We start from the raw sequence: 22,618 nt of genomic DNA, 5'->3' as shown, positions 1-22,618 counted from the left end.
TCCAAAATTTAACAGAATATATGAGTTTTATAATGTACACTTCAGAATAAATTTGGAGGAAGTTAAAACTGCAGTATTTAAAATTTTAGCCATTCTTAATGTGTTTAAAATATTTTAAAGTTATGAAATATTTCAAACAGAGTAAAATACAGAAAATAATAAAACATATACCCATATTTCCACTACTCAAACTTAACAGATGTTAACATTTTTGCCATGTTTACCTCAGATGCTTTTTTTTAAAAAAAAAGAAATGAAATATTTCTGATACAACTAAAGCCCTCCATCCTATTCCCATCCCTCTCTTCCCTGAAGATGGCATACATTCCTCTCATCTATGTTTTTATGCTTTTACTATGTAAACACATAACATTTAAAAATTTATACAAAATTTATACAATTAAAAAAATTATACAAATAATATCTATCATACTGTCTATATTCTTTTGCAACTTGCTTTCATGTACTCAATATTATCTTTAAGATTTATTTATGTAGATTTATTTCATTCCTTTTAATTGATTCATTGTATAAACATGCCTCCATGTATGAATGCATTTCCAAGTTCATGGACATTTACAACTTCACACAGTGCTTGAGCATTCTTGAACGCATATGAGCAGAGACCTCATTCTAGGTGGACACTGCCAGGAAGCAGAATTGCAGCTTTGTAGAACATCCTCATCTCCAACTATTCCAGACCTGATCATGGAACAGCCGATCTCACAACAGCCTCCTTGAGCCTGGTGGCTGACCAAAAGTGCCCATTTATCAACCCAAGCCCTTATTTTTAAAAATATAAATGTTTAAAAAAATCTGTCCAGCCAAGCATTTCCCATTGTATAGGTGGAAATTTGTTTTTATCCTGACATCTCTCACTATTAAATTAACAGAGACATTAGGATCATTTGTTTAACCAACAGACACTGCACCATTGTATATTATTTGGAAGAATATGAAACATCATTTTACAATTTCAAAGTGTCGCTATTATTTTGTTTTTGACATTTATAACATACTACTGGGTAAAGCTGGATTTATTTGATGCTCATTTGTTCCCTAAGAAAACTCAGTATATTTAATGGTAATCCATTTTATGACACAGTTTCCAGGCATACACTTGGCAAGGCGCAGGAACCTGTACTAGAACTCAGTCTAAACCTTTTATAAACACCATCTTTATACTTCAGAAGTTCATCAGACCACCGTGGGGCTCATGGGGGTCTCCATATTGACCAGGGTCCTGCTCAGCAAGTTGGAAAGACATTTCAGATACTTGTGGCCCTTCAGATAAGATTTATTTGCTGACATCACGGCATTGGAGAGAACAATGCGTTGGTCACTTCCAGCTTTATCAGGACAAAGACCTTTGAAGATTCACTCTCTTACCATCTTCTACAGGACTGCCCTGCCGCTCCAATATGTTTTGCTGAATTTCCTGTAGCAATTGCTCCCCAGCAACCCTGCCCACAAGATTTGGTTCTCTTGCTTCAAGGCCAAGAACCTGGTCAAGGCACAAACTTTGCGCTCTGCTATTGAGAAGGCACTTGGGCTACAGCCAATTCATGGAATTTTTCATTGAGGAAGGGGAGAGACTTCCTAGAGCATATCTTCATACGAAAATATGCATGGAAAAGGGGTGTATGTTTGAGGAGGTGACTGGAATCAGAAAAGCAGGATCTACTATTACTGGTATGTATATAGATTAAGGCCAACTGAATCTTTATAGAGGGAACAATACTGCACTAAGAATCAAATGACGAGTGGATGTGCTCTGTAAACTGGTAAGCACAGTGCAAACATGTCTGCAGCTCTTAATGCTGCTGGAAAAGCTATCATTTGTTCGGATGGATCTGCCTCTCTTGGGATTGCTGAACCACTTCCTTTTCTTTTCACATTAAAATTATCTTCCATCTTTTATTCACATCCTCCCGAAGTACCAGAGGAAAAAAAAAAAATAACCAGCTCGGTAGTTTCTCTATTGCTCATGGTAACCTCCTTCACCTTCAGCGTTCTGTTGGCTACTTATTGGCCCTCTGGAAAGCAAGCTCTGAACATCACCATGGGATGTGAACAACCCCCAAAAAGGGTCCAAGCATTTCATCAAGTGAGGTGATGCATGTATGGTACCTGGAACCATGCCTGGCACGCAGGAAACACCTTTCCCATTCAAATCACAAGCCCACTGTCCAGGCCCACCCAGCTCCATGGGCATGTCGCCCATGCAGCTGCACAAGGCCCTACATTTAGAAGGGCTCTGCACTTGCTTTTTTTTTTTTTTTTTTTTTTTTTTTGAGACAGACTCTTGCTCTGTCACCCAGGCTGGAGTGCAGTGGCATGATCTCAGCTACTGAAACCTCCGCCTCCCAGGTTCAAGAGATTCTCGTGCCCCAGCCTCCCAAGTAGCTGGAACTACAGGCGTGTGCCATCATGCCTGGCTTATTTTTTGTATTTTTAGTAAAGACGGGATTTCACCATGTTGGCCAGGCTGGTCTCGAACTCCTGACCTCAGGTGATCTGTCTGCCTCGGCCTTTCAAAGTGCTGGGATTACAGGCGTGAGTCACTGAGCCTGGCCATTCCGTGCTTGTTTTAATGTTCTGCTGTCACCATCTGGAAATTCTTAATAATTTTTAAACAAGGAGTCTCATATTTTCCTTTTGCACTAGGCCCTGCAAATTATGTGGCCAGTCCAGCCATCAGCTTATCACCTGCGCTGGCCTGATGTAGGGGGATCAGGCCTTACACTGGGCTTCATTGTCAACTCAGCTAATTCACATGGGTGGGGGGTTGCTGAGGACACCTGACCACTTGGCCCTTTCTCTGATGATCCCCTTCCAGGCAGCTTGCATGCTGACCCCCACTCCATCCTCTTTGCACCACCCCCCAACCCCACACCCAACCCCAGCACCTTCTGTCAAATACTTCTTAAGAAAACAGCCTCTTCCAGGGCATCCGAGAGATGCATGATTTGTTCTCCGAGGCCCCACTCTCTGTCCCTCTGGCTACAAACAGCCCTCAGGCCTTATCTTGACTGATAATTTGCAGCCTGTTGAGCTCATCCTGAAGCTGACAGGTTTTTCCCTAAATAGCACATTTTTAATTGATTGCACTCCTAAACTTCCTTTTACTTTCCACTCCTACCTTCTGGGTCTACAGCCTTTACCACATCATCCAGGGCATGGTCCCACTTCCTGACCTTACTTTGCTCTCACTATAGTATCCTGACAAGAATCAGACATTCAGGCAGGCAGATCTACGTTTAAATTCCAGCTCCGTCACTTATTAGTTGTAAGATCTTCAGCAAGTTACTTAATCTCCTTGAGCTCCGTTTCTCCATTTGTAAAACGGAGATAGTAATACCTCCCTCATGGAGTTACTATGAGAATTAAATGACATACAGCATATAAGGCACCTAGCCCAGTGCCTGCACATAGTAGGAGCCCAGTAAATATTCATGAGGAACAAGAAGCATAATTTGTAGGTAGCACTAATGCGCAGACTATGTGCCCTCTATTATGTGTATCAGATGCTCCAGAAGAAGAAATGTAAGCATCTTAAGGAGCTTAGAGTCCAGCTGGGAAACAGGAAAGGAGAAAAGTTCAGTTTTAACAGAAATGACTTCAAAATACTATGAGACTACAAGGCAGCAAGAGATAGTATTCCTCGATGCGGATGGAGAGCAGCAAGTGCAAAAGCAGCCCAGTGGAAGGAAAGGTCATGTTAGGATAGGAAGGCTGTGAGTGGTGGATAGGCATGACTTGACCAGGCCAGGATGCTCCAAGGTAGGAAATGGTGTAGCAAAGTCGGGGGCACAGTTGGAAGACAGAGAACAGGCTGAGGTTCGGGCTGAGGCAGGTCTGATTAGGACCAAACTGTGGGGACTTTGATTAATCTGATTCCATCACATCGGCAAAGTTTGTCAACTTGTGTGGGTGGAGGTGGTGGTAGTGAGGGAGTTTAGGGAGTGTGAAGTTTAGGAGCACATTTGCAGAGAGGAGTCAGGCCACACTGCCATCCCTGGACATGTCTGGCCCAGGATGGGAGGCTGTCGGGGGAGCTGGGATGCACTTGATCTCTGCTGTAAGCCACGTGCAGCCACAAGCAGGCTCTGGGCAGAGGAAGAACATGAACACTGGACTTTGCAACATTACTCTGGCTGTAGTGTACAAGCTCAAGGGCAGTGTTGGGATGATGGACCTGACTGGAGCCTGGGTTGGAAGAGACATATGTGATTCATGTTTCTTGGAAGAAGCAGCAAGCTTTGATGACAGACGAGGAGGTGAAAATAAATAACGGGGGAGGTTTTATGCTTGGGTGACTGAAAAAATGGCATCAGGAGAGAGAAAATCAAATTTAGGGGGAAGGGAATTTTTAGACACATGGAGATAGAGCTGATTAAGAGACATTCAAGTGTTGATGAAAATTGCTAATAATTAACATCATCAAACACTTCCTGTGCCCAGTTTAATTCTCCCCCAAATAGGGGCCATTATTATCCTCATTGTTCAGATGAGGAAACTGAGGGCTCATATTCTCATCTATTAGGCTGGAGGGACCTTCTTCCCATTCATTCAGGAGAGGGGTGGCTAAAGATGGAGGTGATCAGAGGAGACTGAGAGGAGAGCTGAGGAAGCACAGGTCCTTTGTCCCAGACTTCTTAGCAGAACAGGAAATAAAACCAAAATCCCAGATGGAAGGTTTTGGGGGAAATCAGGAGTGTTGGTCTGAGCCAAGGTGAGGCTTAGGAAAACCATTTGGAAAATGCACCGCAGAGTCAACCAGAGAGGCAGTAACAGGGCTTGGCTGAAGTTACCATGCTGTTGTAATGGGCCCACTCTGAACCAGGAGCTGGGGCACAGAAAGCACTCTGGAAGAGCTGAGGGGCTGGGAGCCCAGGGGTCAGGGATGGCCGACAAAGGGGTCCAGGCAGAAGTCCAGCACAGCCACAGAATGGGAAGGGGTCCCAGGGCATGCTGAGTTTGGTTTGGAGCTCAGAGCGACATTTGCATTACTCGGTTTGTTAGAAATGCAGTTCAATTCTCCGATGGTCCATGGAGGCAGGGCAATGGTGGGAGAAGCCTGAACTCTGGAGCCTGACAGACCTGGATTTGGTTTCTGGCTGTGTCCCTGAGGAGTCCCCTGGTCTTTAGTAAGTAGGCCTGGCTTGGGTGGATGGGGTACCATTCCCTGCAGGAGGTATCCCTGGAAGAGGAGTGGGGTTGTATGGAGGACACGGAGCGTGTTAGGTTAGGCTTTGGGGCATCCAAGGCACAATGTCCAGTAGGGAGGTGCACAGAGGTGGCTGGGCTGCAGCTGTAAATGGGAGTCATCAGTAACAGATTACACAGGAGGAGAGGGTGGGTAAGAGGAAGAGACACTCTGGAATAGGACCCTGAGAGGCCACAGCATAGGAGAGCATCAAGATTAAGACAAGACCAGGAAGGAGACTGGGAAGGAATTGCAAAGAAGTAGGAGGAAGCCCGGGGGTATGGGGTTATGGAAGCCAAGCAAAGCCTCTTACCAAGGCACAGAAACTTCCTGGGCTCACTGGCTTCAAGAAGAGGTGAGCTCCCCTTAGAGGTTAAGATGCAGGCCCTCCCTGGGAGTCCTGAGTTCCTGCTCCCCGTAGGTGAGTAGCCCAGGGACCTTTCTTGTCCCAGGGACAAAGAACACATCTGTTCAGGAAGCCCTGATTTCAGCCTGCCCTGGCTCCTGCTTAACAGGTGGACAGATCCCAGGTGCACCCCACACTGCCAGCAGCCACTGCTGAGAAGTGAGAGAAAGGTCTGTGATTCTGTGTGAAATCCCTGCTTCCCCTCCTCCCTTCAGCCTCATCAATAAAGAACAGGCCTGATTGGTAAGCTGTAGGGAGCAGCCAGGTCATGCATGGGTCAGGAGGCTGTGCAAAAGCCCCTGCCCCTCCTTCCCTTCTGTCACAAATTCCTAAGTACAAAGGGGCACTGGCTCCAGGGCTGCCCCAGCAATGCCTGGAAAGACTAGAGGACCCCCCAGGGAAAGATGGTTCCGAGGTCTGCAATTCTCACCCCTGGAGGGCTTCAAAGCAGCAAGGGGGCGCTCCCTTATAGAAGGCTCTTGGATGAAACTAGACACAGAGAGAATCTACCGGAAGGGTACAGACCAGCCCAAAGACCTGGTCCCTTTCTGCCTCCTGCATCAGCGCAGCGAGGTACTCTCCCATCTAATCTTCACAGCCATGTGAAACAGACATGGTCATCTTCTCAGTTTTTGAGAGACCAGCCAAGGCTGCGATCCAGGTATTTTTACTCCGTATCCCAGATTCTTCTGTAATACTGGAAACCGGTCTGATGCTGCTGCTGAAATAGTAACTCGGCACAGAACCTCCCAGCCTGGGCGATCCCTCCCTGGCTTCAGGGTCTCCCAGAGGGTGTACTTAAAATAGAACACTGATAAGTTAGTATATATATCAGCTCTAACACTTTTTTTTTTTTTTTTTTACATTTTGGAACTAGAAATACATGAACACCCACTGGTGAGAGAAATGTAAAAGCATGCATGGTTTTTATGGTGAGACACGAAGCACATTTCCATGCTGAAGACATTTCCTTTAAGCCCTGGAATGAATTGGGTGAATTCCCAGACATGGCAGATCAGCGAGTCCCAGGGATACAGAAGCAGCCTGCTAGCAAAAGTGACATCACTCTCACTGAAGTCATCAGGCCACTGTGGCATTAGCTCCTGGGTTTAACACACTTTCAGGAAAGAAATTAACATTTACTGACAGCCTACTATGTGCAATGTTGTTAATATTTATTATCTTACTTGATTCTCAAAATGACTCTGTAATGGAAAGCAGGAACTCAAATAGGTATTTGTACACCCATGTTCATAGCATTCACAGCAGCTAAAAGGTGGTAGCAACCTAGGTATCCATAGACAGATGAATGGAGAAGCAAAATGTGGTTATCTACATACAATGGAGTATTATTCAGCCTTAAAAAGGAAGGACATTCTGACACCCGCTGCAACATGAATGAATCTTGAGGACCTTATGCTAAGTGAAACAATCCAGTCACAAAACAACAAATACAGAATGATTCCATTGATATGAGGGACCTGGAGTAGTCAAATTCAGAGACAGAAAATAAGATGGTGATTGCCAGGGACTAGGGGAGGGAGGAATGGGGAATCACTGTTTAATGGGAACTTCTTATTCATTCACCCTCATCAATAGAGAGCCAGTGGGGAAGATGAAAACGTTTTGGAGGTGGGCAGTGGTGATGGTTGCACAACAATGCGAATGTACTTCATGCCACAGAACCATACGCTTAAAAACAGTCAAAACGGTAAATTTTATGTTGCATGTTTACACAATAAATACTTTTTAAAATAACTCTAGGGGAGGGGTTACTCCTCTCATTTTACAGATAAGAAAACTGGGGCCTGAGAAAATCACATAGCCAGACTCTAGAGCCCCCTGATTTCCTTTACACAATGCTGGAGTAGCCCTGGCCTGACGGAGGGGCTCCCCAGCTCCAAGATTCCTCAAAGAATGGAGAAAAACCCAAGTGAAATCGGACCTAACTGCAGCTTAGAAACAGAGGGGTAAGTGCGGCTTGGGCTTGAATTACAGGGCGAAAACTGAGAATTGTGCCAACATGTAAAATGATGAAATGAGGAGCTCCAGGCTTCTCTCTAATCCAGAATGATTATCTTCACTGCCGAGCATCCAATTTAAATTCATTGTGTTTAATACAAAGCCACAGTACGGAGCCGGCTGGCTCCCGACATGCGGTTTCCATGGAGACTGGAGAGGCTCCTCAGAGGAGCTGTGTGGCATAGGGAATGTGGCTGCCAGCTTCCGGAGAGCCGCTCTGAAACAGAGGCACACTGAGAGGCCCTTTGTCACCCACATCCTTAGCAAAACCCCTTCTAACCCCAAAAAGGGACGTTTACAGGCCAGCAGGCCATGATGATGTTTATTAAACATCCAGGCTACCCACGGATGCCAGAGAGCAATAAGACACATGTAACTCCGCTTTCTCCATCCTTCAGCTGCCTCAACGTGGCAAGACCCTCATTTTAGTCCCAAAGCTAAGGTGTGACAGTGCCATAAAGCTGACGAGAGGCCGCCCTGGAAATGTGGTTTCCAGGAACGGGGGCTGTGAGTCAATGGGCGGCAGACAGGCCTGCCCTGCCCTTATTAGCTTGGCAAGTTATTTCACCTCTCTGGGACGCTGCTTTCTGCCTGCAAAGGAAGGATGATAAGATCTGCCCGAGGGGCCTTCAAAGATCAAAATAAGTGATGAATGGGTGTGGAAGTGCTCTGATGGGTGGGCCTGAGGTCTGGACCTGACAGCTCAGGGGCATCCCGATTGCAGAGGGGTTGGGGGATGGACGCCTAACCTCAGGTCCTGTGAGAACCATGTGCTGCCACGCACCAGCTCGGGGTCTGTGGTCCCAGATCCCCTCAGGGGCTGAACACACCCCATTTTGAGCACTGTATTTTCCACCTGGTGGGAAAAATATATTCTTTGATGGCCACTAAGTCTAGGGCTTTGAGATTGAGAGCCAAAGTGCCCTCCTAAACCTAAGTCCTGGAGTGTGTTTTGCCTGGCAGTGTGAGAATCAAGGCACTAAACCAGAAAAGAGAAGCTCCAGCCCAGGCCTGACGGTAACAAAGGATTCTGTAAAGAATGGAAACCTGACTGAGGGAAAGGGAGAGGGGCGATGGTTCAGTGGTTAGATTCAGTCCAGGAAAAGTTTAATCCCAATCTAGTCCTTTCAGGAGCCCCCAGCCTACCCCTCTTCTCCACCAACTCTAAATCTAAGGCAAGAGGAAGCATGCGCTCTTCCCCTTGATGTCATTGTAATTTACTTTAAATTAGACATGGATGATACGAAGACAATATATTTACATCAATATTTATAATCATGTCATAGATTTTTCCCTCCAAATAACTTGAGAAAATTTTAAAGAAAATTCCTGACTTTTAGCCAACAGAAAGGGACCATGTTAAGGACTGAGAATGTTGATCAAGTGCTTGGTTAATGCATTCGTTTCTCTATGTTTTTGATTTGCAGCCTGCACTAAACTATTTGCTTCCAAGGACATAAAATAGTCATACAACTTTGAAAAAGAACAGAGTTGGAAGACATACACTGCCCGCTTTCAAGACTTACTGTAAAGTTACAATAATTAAGAGACTGTGGTATTGGTGTAAAAATAGACAAACAGATCAAAAGAAGAGAAGAGTCCACAAATAGGCTGGCACATGTATGGTCAATTGATTTTTGACAAGGGATAATCTTTTCAACAAATGGCTCTGGAACAATTGGATAGCCATTTGCAAAAAAAAAAAAAAAAAAACTGAACATAGATACCACATACCATGTATAAAAATTAACTTAAAACAGATCATAGACTGAACTGTAAAAGCTAAAATTACAAACTTCTAAAAGAAAACATAGGGGAAAATCTTAGAGACCTTGGATTCTGAAAAAATTTCTTGATTATAGCACAAAAAGCATGAAGTAGAAATAAAAAAATCGATAAATTGGACTTCAAAATTAAAAACTACTGCTCTTCAAAAAACACTTAAGAAAATGAAAAAGTAAGTAACAGACTGGGAGAAAAATTTGCAAAACATATATCTAATAAATGGCTTGTAATTAGACTATATAAACAACTTTTGGGCTGGGTGTGGTGGCTCACACCTGTAATCCCAGCACTTTGGGAGGCTGGGGCGGGCAGATCAACTGAGGTCAATCATTCAGGACCAGCCTGGCCAACTGGTGAAACCCTGTCTCTACTAAAAAAAAAAAAAAAAAAAGAAGAAGAAGAAAGAAAAAAAGAAAACAACTCTTATATTCAGATTTTTAAAAGCCAACAACTTACTAAAACATGGGTAAAAGGTGTGAGCAGACACTTCACTGAAAACATATAGAAGGCATATAGGCACATGTAAAGACATTCAACACTAGTCACTAAGGAAATGCACATTGTAACCACACTGAGATACCACTACACACCTATTAGAACGGCTAAAATTAAAAAGACTGACCACAACAAGTGGTGGGAATGATATGGAGTCACTACTGATGGGGAAAAAAAAATTGTTACAACCACTTTGGAAACCAGGTGGCAATTTCTTAAAAAGCTAAATGTAGACCTACCATAAAACAGACACATTCCACTTCCGGGTAATTACCCAAGGGAAATAAAAGCCTATGTCCACACAAATATATGTATATGAATGTTCACAGTAGCTTTATCTTTAACAGCCAAAAACTTAATACTACTGAGCGAAAGAAACCAGACAAAAAAAGGAATGCATATCGCATTGCTCCATTTATATAGAAATAGTAGAAAATGCAAACTAATCTATAGTGACATAAAATAGTGGTAACCTGGGGTGAGAGCTGGGGGAAAATTACAGGAACACAAAGAAACTTTCAGGAATGGTGGATATGTTTATTATATTGTGATGGCTTCTTGATGTATGTATATGTCAAAATGTATCAAACTGTATACTTTAAAATGTGCAGCTTATCAAACATTAATTATACCTTTTTTTTTTAAAGGTGGCTTCCCAGGTTACCTAATCATGTTCTCCTCTTTCTAGACATATTCTTCCCAACAGTGGAGTTCACTAACATTTACCAATTTTTTTTTTGTTTTTAGACAGGGTCTTGTTCTGTCACTGGAGTGCAGTGGCATGATCATAGCTCACTGCAGCCTCAAACTTCTGAGCTCAAGTGAGCTCAAACTCCTCCTGCCTCAGCCTCCCTAGTAGCTAGGTCTATAGGTACACACCATCATGCTTGGCTAATTTTTGTATTTTTTGTAGAGATGGGGTTTCACTATGTTGCCTAGGCTGGTCTTAAACTCCTGGCCTCAAGTGATCCTCTTGCCTTGGCCTCCCAAAGCTTTGGGATTACAGGCGTGAGCCACCGAGCCACTGAGCCCCGCCTTGTTTAATTTTATTTTAAAATATTAATTGAGAATACTGTGGATCGTTTAAGTCTAAACAGGAAAATTATTTATGAATTAGGGGTAGTATTTATTAATCTCTAATGGTACTTCCAGCTCTAAAATTGTGTGTGTGAGAGCGAGTGTGAATGTGAGATGGTGTGTGTGATGTGTGTGCAATATGAGTGAGAAACAATGGTCAGTGAGAACGTTCTTACAGTAGTTGGCCCACAGTTTTATATTCGTTTAGTTACTAATTAAAGATCCTTATAGGGCTTCAGTTTTAGTCAACAAGAAACAAAAAAGCATCAGAAGGAGAGAAAAATGTGGCTGGCTGCAGTAATCACCCAAGGGAACAATGAGGCTGAAACTATCCAGGGGAGATGATCTGGCACCTACGCAAATTTCTACCTGTAAATGAACCAAGATATGTCCCTTATTTTCAACACAAATATGGCAACTTCAAAGGTAACCTCTGTGAGGTTTGGGAGAACAGATATTTCCAATTGAGAAAAGGCCATATTCAAATATTTCTTGAAATATTAAAAAAGATACAAGCTTAATTTAAGAAAAGAAAAAGAGGAAGAAGGGAGAAAAATGGAAGAAGACAGAAAAATGGCATTCATGTGCAATATGTATCATTGAAGTGCACATACAGTATATATTTTTCTTCTTCCTTTTTTCCTTTTATAAATTCCAGTGGATGACAGCATAAAGCAAAGCTTCTTGTACTAAGCACGAAAGATTGCCAAGACACTTGGCCTCAATCACAGAGGGTGTATTTATTTTATTCTGAATCAAAGGTTTTAAAAATGCAATAATCTGCATTGATAAATTCTTTGCAAACACTATTCTAGAAGTTGAGGAGCTGCTTGGTCACCATAGGAGGTTTTTTCCCAATACCAGAGATACAAATTTATAAGAAACGATAGATCTCCTCATTCACATCAGTTCTAAGAAGGATCAACCTGGCCTACATTTTGGCCTACCAATTAATGTACACGTAGAATGAAAGTTGCCAGCAAGGTTTTGTTAAGCAAGTAGCTGGTTTGAAGCAGGACACCTTTAAATAGCTCCTGATGCCTGCAGAGTTTATTGCTGGCTATTTCTGCCTTTAAGAGAAAGAGAGAAGACAGAAAATTATCTAGAATTTATCACTATTACTATCAGACTCTGTTTGAAATCTAAAACACACACAGAAATTCGAACGCTAGGAATGAAATCCAGTTCTTTCAGTTCCTATTTGATGCTTAACTGTTTTATATGTATGCTCGTACAAATGGATTTTTAAGGGATCTGACTTTGATCAACATGATCTATTTATTTATTTAACAAACATTCACATAATGCTTAATAAGCACCAAGTATTCTTTTAAGTTCTTTACAAATAATAACTCAATTAGCACTTTTAAAGACATACGACAATGGAGGAACAGAGAGATTAACTTGCCCACATGACATAGCAAGCAAATGTGGAGCTGAAATCCGAACTCCAGCATTCATAGCCCCAGTCTGTGCTGATAACTCCCACTCCATGCTGACATCCATTTCTTGGATGTCGACTACACCGTTAGGGCTACGCGGGCTCTGTGGCTAGTCACAAGTTAAATCGTGGTCTCTGCTCCTCAAAGGGTCTTCAATCTTGTTGAGAAACAAACTTAACATGGGAAACAATTTGAAAGCCCTAGGATGACAAGTTATTTCAGCTGGCGAGAAGAAAGTGACATCCTGGAGCTGGGTTAGCTGGAGGAGGAGTGCCACGAGAGGCTGTTCGCCTTGAAGGAGGGGCTCTGTGCAGGGGTGGAGAGAGATGGCAACAGGCAGCATGGGGTGTCCATGGAGGGCATCTTCCTGATGGATGGGTGCGTGTGGGGAGCAGCTGGCCATGATGGGTCGATGGGAGGGCAAGGTCAGATCAGGGGTTGCCCAGGGGGAAGATCCATACATCCAAACTTGATGTCTTAGACAACAGGGAGCCATTGCAGGGACACGACATCAGGCATAGAGAGAGCCGTGAGATGAAGGGGGGCCAAGGTGATTTTTTATTTTAAAAATGTAAATGTGGGCTGGGCGCAGTAGCTCATGCCTGTAATCCCAGCACTTTGGGAGGCTGAGGCTTATGGATCACTTGAGGTCAGGAGTTCGAGACTAGCCTGACCAACATGGAGAAACTCCGTCTCTACTAAAAATACAAAATTAGCTGGGCATGGTGGCGGGCGCCTGTATTCCCAGTTACTTGGGAGGCTGAGACAGGGGAATTGCTTGAACCCAGGAGGCGGAGGTTGCAGTGAGCCAAGATTGCACCACTGCACTCCAGCCTGGGTGACAGAGCAAGACTCCATCTCAAAAAAATAAAATAAATAAATAAATAAATAAAAATGTAAATGTGGAGTTTTAAAAAGGTTTAAGTAAGCTGAGCATGATGGCTGACGCCTGTAATCCTAACACTTTGGGAGGCTGAGGCAGGAGGATCGCTTGAAGCCAAGAATTCAAGACCAGCCTGGGCAACATAGCAAGATCCGGTCTCTACAAAAAATAAAAATAAAAAACTTAGCTGGGCACAGTGGCATGTGCCTGCAGTCCCAGCTACTCAGGAGGCTGAGGTGGGAGTATGGCTTGAGCCCAGGTGGTTGACGCCACAGTGAGCTATGATCATGCCACTACGCTCCAGCCTGGGTGACAGGGCCAGATTCTATCTCTAAAATAAATAAATAAATTATGATTTAGGTAGTTTAAGCAAAATAGGTGGAGTGGAGATGTACTAGGGCAAAATGTCTATAGGATAGCCATGTTTTTGCATGTGACTCCCTGTGGTAGGCAGAATTCTAAGATGACTCCCAGTGGCCCACACCCCTGTATAACTGCATCTCACTGAGTGTGGGAGGGATCTTGTGAATAAGATGGGAAAACGTACCCATGATTAGGTTATATTCCATGGCAGGAGATTATCCTCAGTGGGTCTGGGCTAATCAGGTGAGCTCATAAAGGTATGGGTTGGCCAGGCACGGTGGCTAACGCCTGTAATCCCAGCCCTTTTGGAGGCCGAGGCAGGCAGATCACGAGGTCAAGAGATAGAGACCATCCTGGCCAACATGGTGAAACCTCATCTCTACTAAGAATACAAAAATTAGCTGGGCGTGGTGGCAGGCGCCTGTACTCCCAGCTACTCAGGAGGCTGAGGCAGGAGAATCTCTTGAACCTGGGAAGTGGAGGTTGCAGTGAGCTGAGATCGTGCCACTGCAGTCCAGCCTGGTGACAGAGCAAGACTCTGTCTCAAAAAAAAAAAAAAAAGATATGGGTTTTTTTCTTGGTGAAAGAGATTCTAGTCAGAGATTTGAAACAGGAGAGAGACTTGAGGTGAGTCTGTTGCTGGCTTTGAAGATGGAAGGGGCAGGTGGCAAAGGGTGCTGGCAGCCTCCAGGCACTGAGATCCGCCCCAGGCTGACAGCCAACAAGGAAACAGGGACCTCAGTCCTTGAACTCCAAGAAATGGAATTCTGCCACAACTACACGAGCTTGGCAGAGAACCCTGGACTCCAGATGAGAATGCAGCCCATTGACACCTGGATGGCGGCTTGCGAGGCTCTGAGCCGAAGACCTAGTCATGCTGTGCCCAGATTTCTACCTACAGAACTGTGAGTTAATAAATGGGTGTTTTAAATTGCTGAACTTGAGGCAATTAGTTACACAGCAGAAAACTAATATACCCTCTACAAGCAGACTAAGTACCGATGGAGGGGGTAGAGGGATGTCCTCCAGGTGGCAGGGGAGGGGAAGTCACTTCATGAAGCCTTCACAGGGCTCTTTACAGCCTACAGGTGAGTCACAGAAGAAAGTGGAGAGAGGAGCCCAGCTATGCCAATCCCAGCCCCCACAGCTAGGCCGGAGGGGTGGTAGGGCAGCAGGAAGAACGAGCATGGAAAACGAGCTGGGAGGTGAGGGCCGATTCCCAGAGAAGGCCTGCCAGGGTGCCTGCTGGCCAAGCCCAGGGACACAGGTAGCATGGGCACTCGGTGCACAGTGGAGCAATTTCATTGTGAAGCCAAAGTCGGTGGATCTTTTCTCAAGGAACTGGAAGAAAAGAGCCTGGGGTGGAAGCAGGTAGTCCCAGCCTGGGGACTAGCATTTATTGTATATGTATTCTGTGACAGGGACTATGTGAAGCATTTGTCATGCATCATCTCATCTAATCCTTACAAACACCATTTATACATAGTAAAAACTGTTTAGCTCTAAGGCGCTGACATCAGTTATTCCTGCAGGGAGGAGCAGCATTTCATAAAGCTACTGTCTTGGGCAGGCAGAGACCTCGCTCAGCTGCCTGCCTGATGCAAATCCATTCTGAGACACCCTCATCTGGTCCAGCAAAATTTGGGGCCACAGAATAGCAAGAGAAATATTTGCATACAGCCAACCAAGAGGCCACAGGCTGAAAGGGGTGATTGTTCAGTCCCGAGGTCTCAGGAGGCCTTGAACAGGGTGGTGAAAGGCTGAGAAACCTGCCTTCTGGTCCAACTGGCCCTGGGATGTGGGCTACTCATGCAACCTCAAACTCCTGTTTTTGTTTTTGTTTTGAGACAGGGTCTCACTCTGTCACCCAGGCTGGGGTGCAGTGGTGCAATCACAGCTCACTGCAGCCTCAACTTTCCTGGGCTCAGATGATCCTCCCCACTCAGCCTACTGAGTAGCTGGGACTACAAGCGTACACCACCACGCCTGGCTAATTTTTGTATTTTTTGTAGAGATGGGGTTTTGCCATGTTGCCCAGGCTGCTCTCAAACTCCTGGGCTCAAGTGATCTTCCCCGCTTGGCCTCCCAAAGTGCTGGGATTAGTGGCATGAGCCACAGCGCCTGGCACGTTCATGCATCCTCTCTGGGTCTCCTATCAATGGGTGGGTGGGACTAGATGATTTCTAAGGTGTCACCCAACTTCTCGCAGGGATGGAGAGATAAGAAAACTTGAGAATATCAATGAATAAGCAAGACCATATGAGTCTGGATCCCCATGAGCAGGAAGTGTCATTGCAGAGCTTAAAGACGGGAAAGAAATTTTGGCCAGAATTTACCAGAAACAGAATACTGGAGTTGAAGAAAAAGAAGAAAGGAAGTGAGCCACATTTATAGGCTTCATTCCACGAGAGCGCATTTTGAAGACAAAAGTAGCAAAAGCAACCTGCCAAGCGGACAAACAGGATCCTTGGTGAGGAAGTTGGCAAGGCTGGGCACCAAAAGGAATTTATTTATGTCCTAGCGGCACATACCTCAGGGCCCTACCAGATGGGGTCCAGAACTCTGCAGTGGGAGGGCAGGGAGGGGCAGGATCCTCCATGGGGGTGAGGGGTGGCAGGCCACCCTAGCCTGCGAGACTGGCTGTCCCCTAGGCCGATCCCATGCTGCACAAGCACTCTTGATTAGGATTTGGCTTCCCCCACAGGTTGACTGTAAGATACCCCAATGCTAATTTTGAGTTGGTGGGAAGCTGTCTCTGGGACGAGATAGCCTCTGGCACAGACAAGAGGGAGTCTCTGGACCCTCACGGAAGAGGGCCAGCCCCAAGTGGACTGACTTCTGTTTGATGGCATCTCTGCTACTGCCAACTTCTCTCTCACTGACGATTGCCATAGGTACAGACAGGAGGTCAGGACACCGGGTTAGGGAACTTAACAAGCACAGAAGCTCTGGGCCCCGGGCTGGGGTTTGGGAGCCCAACTAGGGGGTGTTGCAATGTGAATAGAAAGAAGCAAATAAGAAAGACCAGCAAGGTGCAAATAAGAAAGACCAGCAAGGTCAAAACAAGACAGGCCCAAGCTTCCCCAAGGCAGACCCAGGGGATTCGGATGTCAGCCCTGGCTCACAAGGTGAGGGTCGGATGGGCAACAGGAGTACAGCCTGTGCCACTCAAACCCCTCAAAGTTCCTCAGAATCACCAGGGATGATGGGGAGGACACAGACCTAGAGTCAACTGGGCTGGGCTGGGCTGGGGACTGGACACTGGATCTTTCAAAAATTCCCCAAGTGGTTTTGTTCCAGGAAAGGGGTCCCTATCCAGACCCCAAGAGAGGGTTTTTGATTTTGTGCAAGAAAGAATTCAGGACCATTTTACAGTGCAAAGCAAAAGCAAGTTTCTTAAGAAAGTAGAGGAATATTTGGGAGGCCGAAGCGGGTGGATCACGAGGTCAGGAGTTTGAGACCAGTCTGGTCAACATAGCGAAACCCCATTCTCTACTAAAAATACAAAAAATTAGCCAGATGTGGTGGTGTGCACCTGTAATCTCAGCTACTCAGGAGGCTGAGGCATGAGAATCGTGTGAACCCAGGCGACAGAGGTTGCAGTGAGCTGAGATCTCGCCATTGCACTCCAGCCTGGGTGACAGTGTGAGACTTCATTTCAAAAAAGAAAAAAAAAAAAAAGAAAGTAGAGGAATAAAAGAATGGCTACTCCATAGACAGAGCAGCTCCAGGGCTGCTGGTTGCCCATTTTTACAGTCATTTCTTGATGATATGCTAAACAAGGGGTGGATTATTCGTGCCTCCTTTTTTTTAGACCATCTAGGGTGACTTCCTGATGTTGCCAGGGCATTTGTTAACTGTCATGGCACTGCTGGGAGTGTAGCAGTGAGGATGACAAGGGGTCACTTCTTGTGGCCCTCTTGGTTTTGGTGGGACCTGGCCGGCTTCTTTACCACAAGCTATTGTATCAGCCAGGTCTTTATGACCTGTATCCTGTGCCGACCTCCTGTCTCATCTTGTGACTTAGAATGCCTTAACCATCTGGGAATGCAGCCGAATAGGTCTTAGCCTCATTTTACCCAGCCCCTATTTAAGATGGAGCTGCTCTGGTTCACACGTCTCTGACAGTTCTGATGTAATTTGCTTCCAAAGGGTGAAAATCACTGGCCTAGACAGCGGTCCTTAAAATATGTTTGTAGGGATAGGGAGGCAGAAAAGGCACATAGGAAGCTTGTTCAGTTGCACGTGTCTGTCCTCGCTATCAATATCTTAGTGAGGGGCTGGTACCTATATTTATTTTTATTTTGCCACATACCTGATTTGCTTATGAATGCTTGTAGTTTTAAAAACCTGATTCTGATATTTTCACCTGGCCCTGGAGAGCCATTGGTGGGTGGAGCTCAAGAGCCTGTAAGAACATTCTTTACTCTGTAATACTAGATACATATGAAAGAGACTAAGTGCAACATCTACTTAAGCAGAATAATAATAATATGAGACCCCACAACCAGACTAAAATTCTGGTCCTTCTGAACACAGTTGGTGTCACTGACTCTCCCTCCTCACTCCCTCTCCCCCTGCCACCCCACGGAGATAACCTCCTTTTTGGAATGAGGTCTGTATTGTTAGCCAGCAGGTGGTCCTGGCACCGTCTGGAAACCCTAGTTCTGGGCCTGGGGAGGGCGGGGCCTGCAGGTGGTGGGGTGTTGTGGGGGTGCTGCCTGGGGCAGGGAGGAGGGTCAAGTGACCAGGCTGTGAGCAGGGGAGCCAGGCAGAGCCTGCCACAGCCTCTTTCAGAGGCTGGGGCCAGCGAGGCGTGGGCTAAAGAAGTACTGGAGAGAAATCCCTGGAGGTCAAGTACAATGGAGGCCCAGATGTTCTCGGAAAGGCCAGGCTTTCAACTGTTTTGTTTTCCTAGTCCAGCTGCTGCTGCTGCCAAATCAACAAGCAGACGCTAGCTGGGGTGGGGCGGGGCGGGGGTGGGGTGTTGTGTGCAGGGTTCAGGGCCCCGCTATCTGTCTGACAAGAACAAAAAGATGCAACTTGATCTCTCCTTCTTTCTTGGCTAATCGTTCGGGTGAGATTTTCCTTGGGATTACTGTTCTATTATAAACCCAGATGCTTAAAGTGAATCAACCTTTCTTAGAGCATACTAAGTAGGTCAGCGGCGGTCCATCAGGGTGCGCGGCCTCTGCATGGGTGCCACAGGCGGTGTGAATAATTAAATCCACCCGTCCCCATCAGCGTTTCAGTAGGAGAGCATTTACTCTCCGCGGGAGATTTTCAGAAACTGGGAAGCTACACCATTCGGCTGCAGGAGCCACAACATAAAGGGGAAATCTTGGTGTGGAGTGGAGGGGTCAAGGGCAGGAATTTCAGGACTCTGGGCAGGATCTACTAATGGAGTCCAGGTAGAACGAGGCCACCACGACAGAGGCTTAATGTGAGGGCTGGGGCACAAGGACAGTTACAATCTTTCTTAGGGCATGGATATAACAAAGTGTCAGTTTAAGTGATACCAGCTGCCAGGGTCGCCTGGGGTCTGTGGTCTCTTAAATTCCCTACAACTAGGGCCTGACATGGACTGGGGCTCCTGAGGCAGCCTGAACCTGTAGAAATGGGAGATCTGGGGCCTTTCGTCACACAGGGGCCTTTAGATGTTTTTTGGAGGCAGCTGCTTGCGTGGATGAGAAGCAGAAAAGATCAAGAGTTACTCACCACCTTGCATAAAGACACGTGTGCAGAGCTCTTCATCAGCTGTAAAGAGCTGATGGTTCTCAGGGGAAAACCAGTCGCTCTTGGCTAATGAGGCCCTAGCAGATGACAATGTGGAAAATGAGACAAAGGAGGCCAGTCTGCCCACCGCGAGGCTGGTAGACAGCATAGTGACAGTGTGGCATCTGACCCTGGCCTAAAGGACTCCTCCAAACAGGGACAGTAACTAGGAAGGTGCATTTTTTAGTGCAAGCCCTGAGCATGCTACAGAATGGACCCCAGAATGGACTGGTGATGTCAGTGTTAAATACTGTGGCCTCTCTTACACTACTGCTGGGAGCATAAATTGTTACAACCAGTCTGGAAAACTATTTGGCATTACCTATTAAAGCTGAACCTAAGTGTACCCTATGGGCCCTGCAATTCCATTCCCGGGAGTATGTGCCCAACAAAATGTGTACAGACATGTTTGCTGAAGATGTGTACAAGAACATGTTCATAGTGACAATGTTTGTAATAGCCTCAAACAAGCAATGACCTAAATGGCCACTGACAGAGAGATAATTGCTATGTGGTATATTACACAGTGGAATAGTATTAAGCAATGAAAGTGAATGAATTTATGAATTTTTGAGCAAAAGAAGCCAATGCGAAGGTACATACTGCTTCATTTCATCTACATAGACAAAACCAAGCTGTGATAAATATACCAAAACCACTGACTTACACACTTTAAATACATGAATTGTATGATATGTAAATTATATCTCGATTAAGCTGTTATTTAAAAAATCCTATTAGAAGTCAGGATAGTGGTTATCCCTGATGGGAACCTGTGACTGGAGGAGCTTCTGGGTGCTGGTAAAGTTTGGTGTCTTGACTTGGGAGCTGCTTACAAGTGTATTCAATGGGGTAATTCTGTGTACTTACAATTTCTGCACTTCTCTGTATATATGGTATACTTCAGTGAAAATGACAACAATAACCGCAGGCCTGGCCTGGCTCAGTGCCTGAGGATGGTGAGCTGGATATGCTCACTCACTTGAGAAAGGTCCCGACTGTCACCAGGCACCCTGCAAGAGGATCCTGAATTTATGAGGATGGGGCTCCCCATTTCATAATCAAAACATCAGTTGCAGGGCCCGGGAGAATTCTCAGAGGAGAAAGCAAGGAGAGTCGGCCTACCACCTCTCTTCCCTGGACTTGGCTAGAGTGAGCAGGTGTAGCCCTGATGCCAGAGGGTTAAGCCAGGGAGCATCCTTGCCTTGGCACAGTCGGGCAATGGCTACTGTGACTCCTCATAGCCCAGCCTTCCAAGGGTCTGGTCTGCAGCCCCTGGATTGGGAAGGGGGCCTGTCCTCAAGGAGACCTTAAGGGCCATCTGCTTGAGGTGGGGCTGGTCCATCAAGCTGTGCCAGGCCCAGCCTCTGCCTGCACACTTACGGGACAGCTACTCTAGTTCCAGGTCAGTCCAGGCTCTGGGAAAGCAGAGGAAAATGGCCAGGCCTTGCTCTCAAGGAGCTCACAGTCTGATGTCCGGGGAGAGGCCAGCATGAGATAGAAAATCACAAGGAAGAGGGATGACAGCAATGACAGAGGTGTTGGAGCACACGGGAAGGGTAAAAAAGCCCATTCATGGCTCTTTTTGCAGAATGTAGTTTCCTCCTAATTTTTCTTCTGAATTTTTGTACTTGGCATTCAGGAACTTACAGTAGCTCAGGTCCAGCTCAGTAACTGTTAAATATTGTCCATGGTAACTCACTCTGAAAAGAGAGCCCACCACCAGCAATTTTCTGGTTGTTTTTAAAAATAACAAGCAAGCTAGGAGAGGTAATAGAAGCTGTCTCATCCTCTAGAAGAAGCAAATTTGTCTTTCAGTCTTTGGGAATTTAATTCAGTTTATCATACATAAAGAAGCCCATCAGACAAACCCACTCCCCTACTTAATAACAAACACCAGCTTATTCTCTTCCTCTAGGTTTGTATTACATGACATAAAGATATACAAATAAAATCAGTTCTCAGCCTGGGTACTTGGGTAAATGATCTGATTAGCAAAACCAGCCTAAACGCCTCCTTTTCTATAATCATGGAAATCTGTGACGTTAAGCCGGAAATCCCTATTGTAGTTGCCACAGTGGCCCTGACACACCCTTCTCCTGCCAGCAATACACTGGGAGCACCTGGCTCACATGAGTCTAGTCTGGAGCAGCCCTAGAAGCAGAATAAAAAAGCCAAAGAGGAAGCCACCTTTGGCAAACAGGAGCATTACCTTGGTCCCATGGTAGAAGTCGTCCACGCACGTGGCATTCATGAAGGTCTGGTGGAAGTGGGTGCTGGTGTCGATGCCACCAGGGATCACCAGTTTTCCTGTGGCATCAATCACCTTGGCCCCGCCAGGGATCATGAGCTCGCGGCCCACCTGCTGGATGATGCCATTCTCGATGTAGACGTCAGCCTCGTGGGTGCAGTCATCGTTCACCACCTTGCCTCCCTTGATGAGGATCCTCACGCTGGCTGAGTTGGCAAGCATGTTCCTACAAGAAGGTGAGCATGGTCAAGGTCAAAGTCCCTTCTCACTGTTTCCAGTTTCCCATCCCTCCTATCAAAGCCCAAATTCCATGGTCAGGGTAAGTGAGCAGAGAAGAGGAGGAACTTTCCCCTACAGCCAGCGGGAGTCACAAGCCTCCCACTGGCTTCCCAGAGGGACTTATTAGGAATCAGGACACAGCTGCAGTAAGGGAGAAGCTGGGGCCTACAGAAACATCATGTTTTACTTTCCCAAAATGCTATGTGAGCTCCAAAGCACTTTCACATCTACTATCTCATTTTCTATCTCTCATATCTCATTTCTCATATCTCTACTATCCCCAAAACAACCCAAGGCATTTTACAGATGAGAAAGCTGAAATTGCTAAGGAATTTATGGTTATCAAGTAGCCAAGTCGAACCCACATGTCTTATACAACAAATGTCTCCCTTACACTGCACGGTATCCTGAAAACACCAGAGCCTCTGGGGGTGTGTCTCAGAGCTGAACTCTCCAAATCTCACAGCTGTTTAATTCATGACATTCCTCAGATGGATTCTGCTTCCTTCATGCTCCTATTTTGGCTTCAAGAAGTCCACAACCAACACTTAGCTCCACAGCTGGTTGCACATGAAGCTCACCTGAGTAGCTTTGGACAACTATGTATGCCCAAGCCCCACCCCCAGAGATG

The 22,618-nt window shown here is 45.7% G+C and overlaps 1 protein-coding gene across 4 annotated transcripts in view, besides 3 other annotated features; it reads right to left on the bottom strand.

The window, feature by feature from the left end:
• The window catches only part of DPYSL5 (dihydropyrimidinase like 5), a 102,357-nt gene that overhangs the window by 29,922 nt on the left and 49,817 nt on the right, over positions 1-22,618 (bottom strand). For all 4 annotated transcript variants that reach the window (NM_001253724.2, NM_001253723.2, NM_020134.4 and 1 more), the window contains exon 2: positions 21,670-21,934. In NM_001253724.2, coding sequence (NP_001240653.1) covers positions 21,670-21,930 — 261 coding nt within the window. In that variant the 5' untranslated portion in view covers positions 21,931-21,934. The remainder of the gene's footprint in view (positions 1-21,669; positions 21,935-22,618) is intronic.
• Positions 6,278-7,234: an enhancer, noted in NCBI's record as "H3K4me1 hESC enhancer chr2:27136064-27137020 (GRCh37/hg19 assembly coordinates)". NCBI's record gives its function as "activates a minimal SCP1, AML or CMV promoter by ChIP-STARR-seq in primed H9 embryonic stem cells {active_cell/tissue: H9 hESC(primed)}" and the evidence as "EXISTENCE:reporter gene assay evidence [ECO:0000049][PMID:30033119]".
• Positions 7,423-8,060: an enhancer, noted in NCBI's record as "NANOG-H3K4me1 hESC enhancer chr2:27135238-27135875 (GRCh37/hg19 assembly coordinates)". NCBI's record gives its function as "activates a minimal SCP1, AML or CMV promoter by ChIP-STARR-seq in naive H9 embryonic stem cells {active_cell/tissue: H9 hESC(naive)}" and the evidence as "EXISTENCE:reporter gene assay evidence [ECO:0000049][PMID:30033119]".
• Positions 7,635-7,929: a silencer, noted in NCBI's record as "tiled region #557; HepG2 Repressive non-DNase unmatched - State 21:Repr, and K562 Repressive non-DNase unmatched - State 21:Repr". NCBI's record gives its function as "represses a minimal TATA promoter and a strong SV40 promoter by Sharpr-MPRA in HepG2 and K562 cells {active_cell/tissue: HepG2 | K562}" and the evidence as "EXISTENCE:reporter gene assay evidence [ECO:0000049][PMID:27701403]".

This window comes from Homo sapiens, chromosome 2 (assembly GCF_000001405.40).
Source record: "Homo sapiens chromosome 2, GRCh38.p14 Primary Assembly".
Classification (NCBI taxonomy): domain Eukaryota; kingdom Metazoa; phylum Chordata; class Mammalia; order Primates; family Hominidae; genus Homo; species Homo sapiens.
Note: the sequence above shows the minus strand (reverse complement) of the source record. Positions and strands in the feature narration are given on the sequence as shown.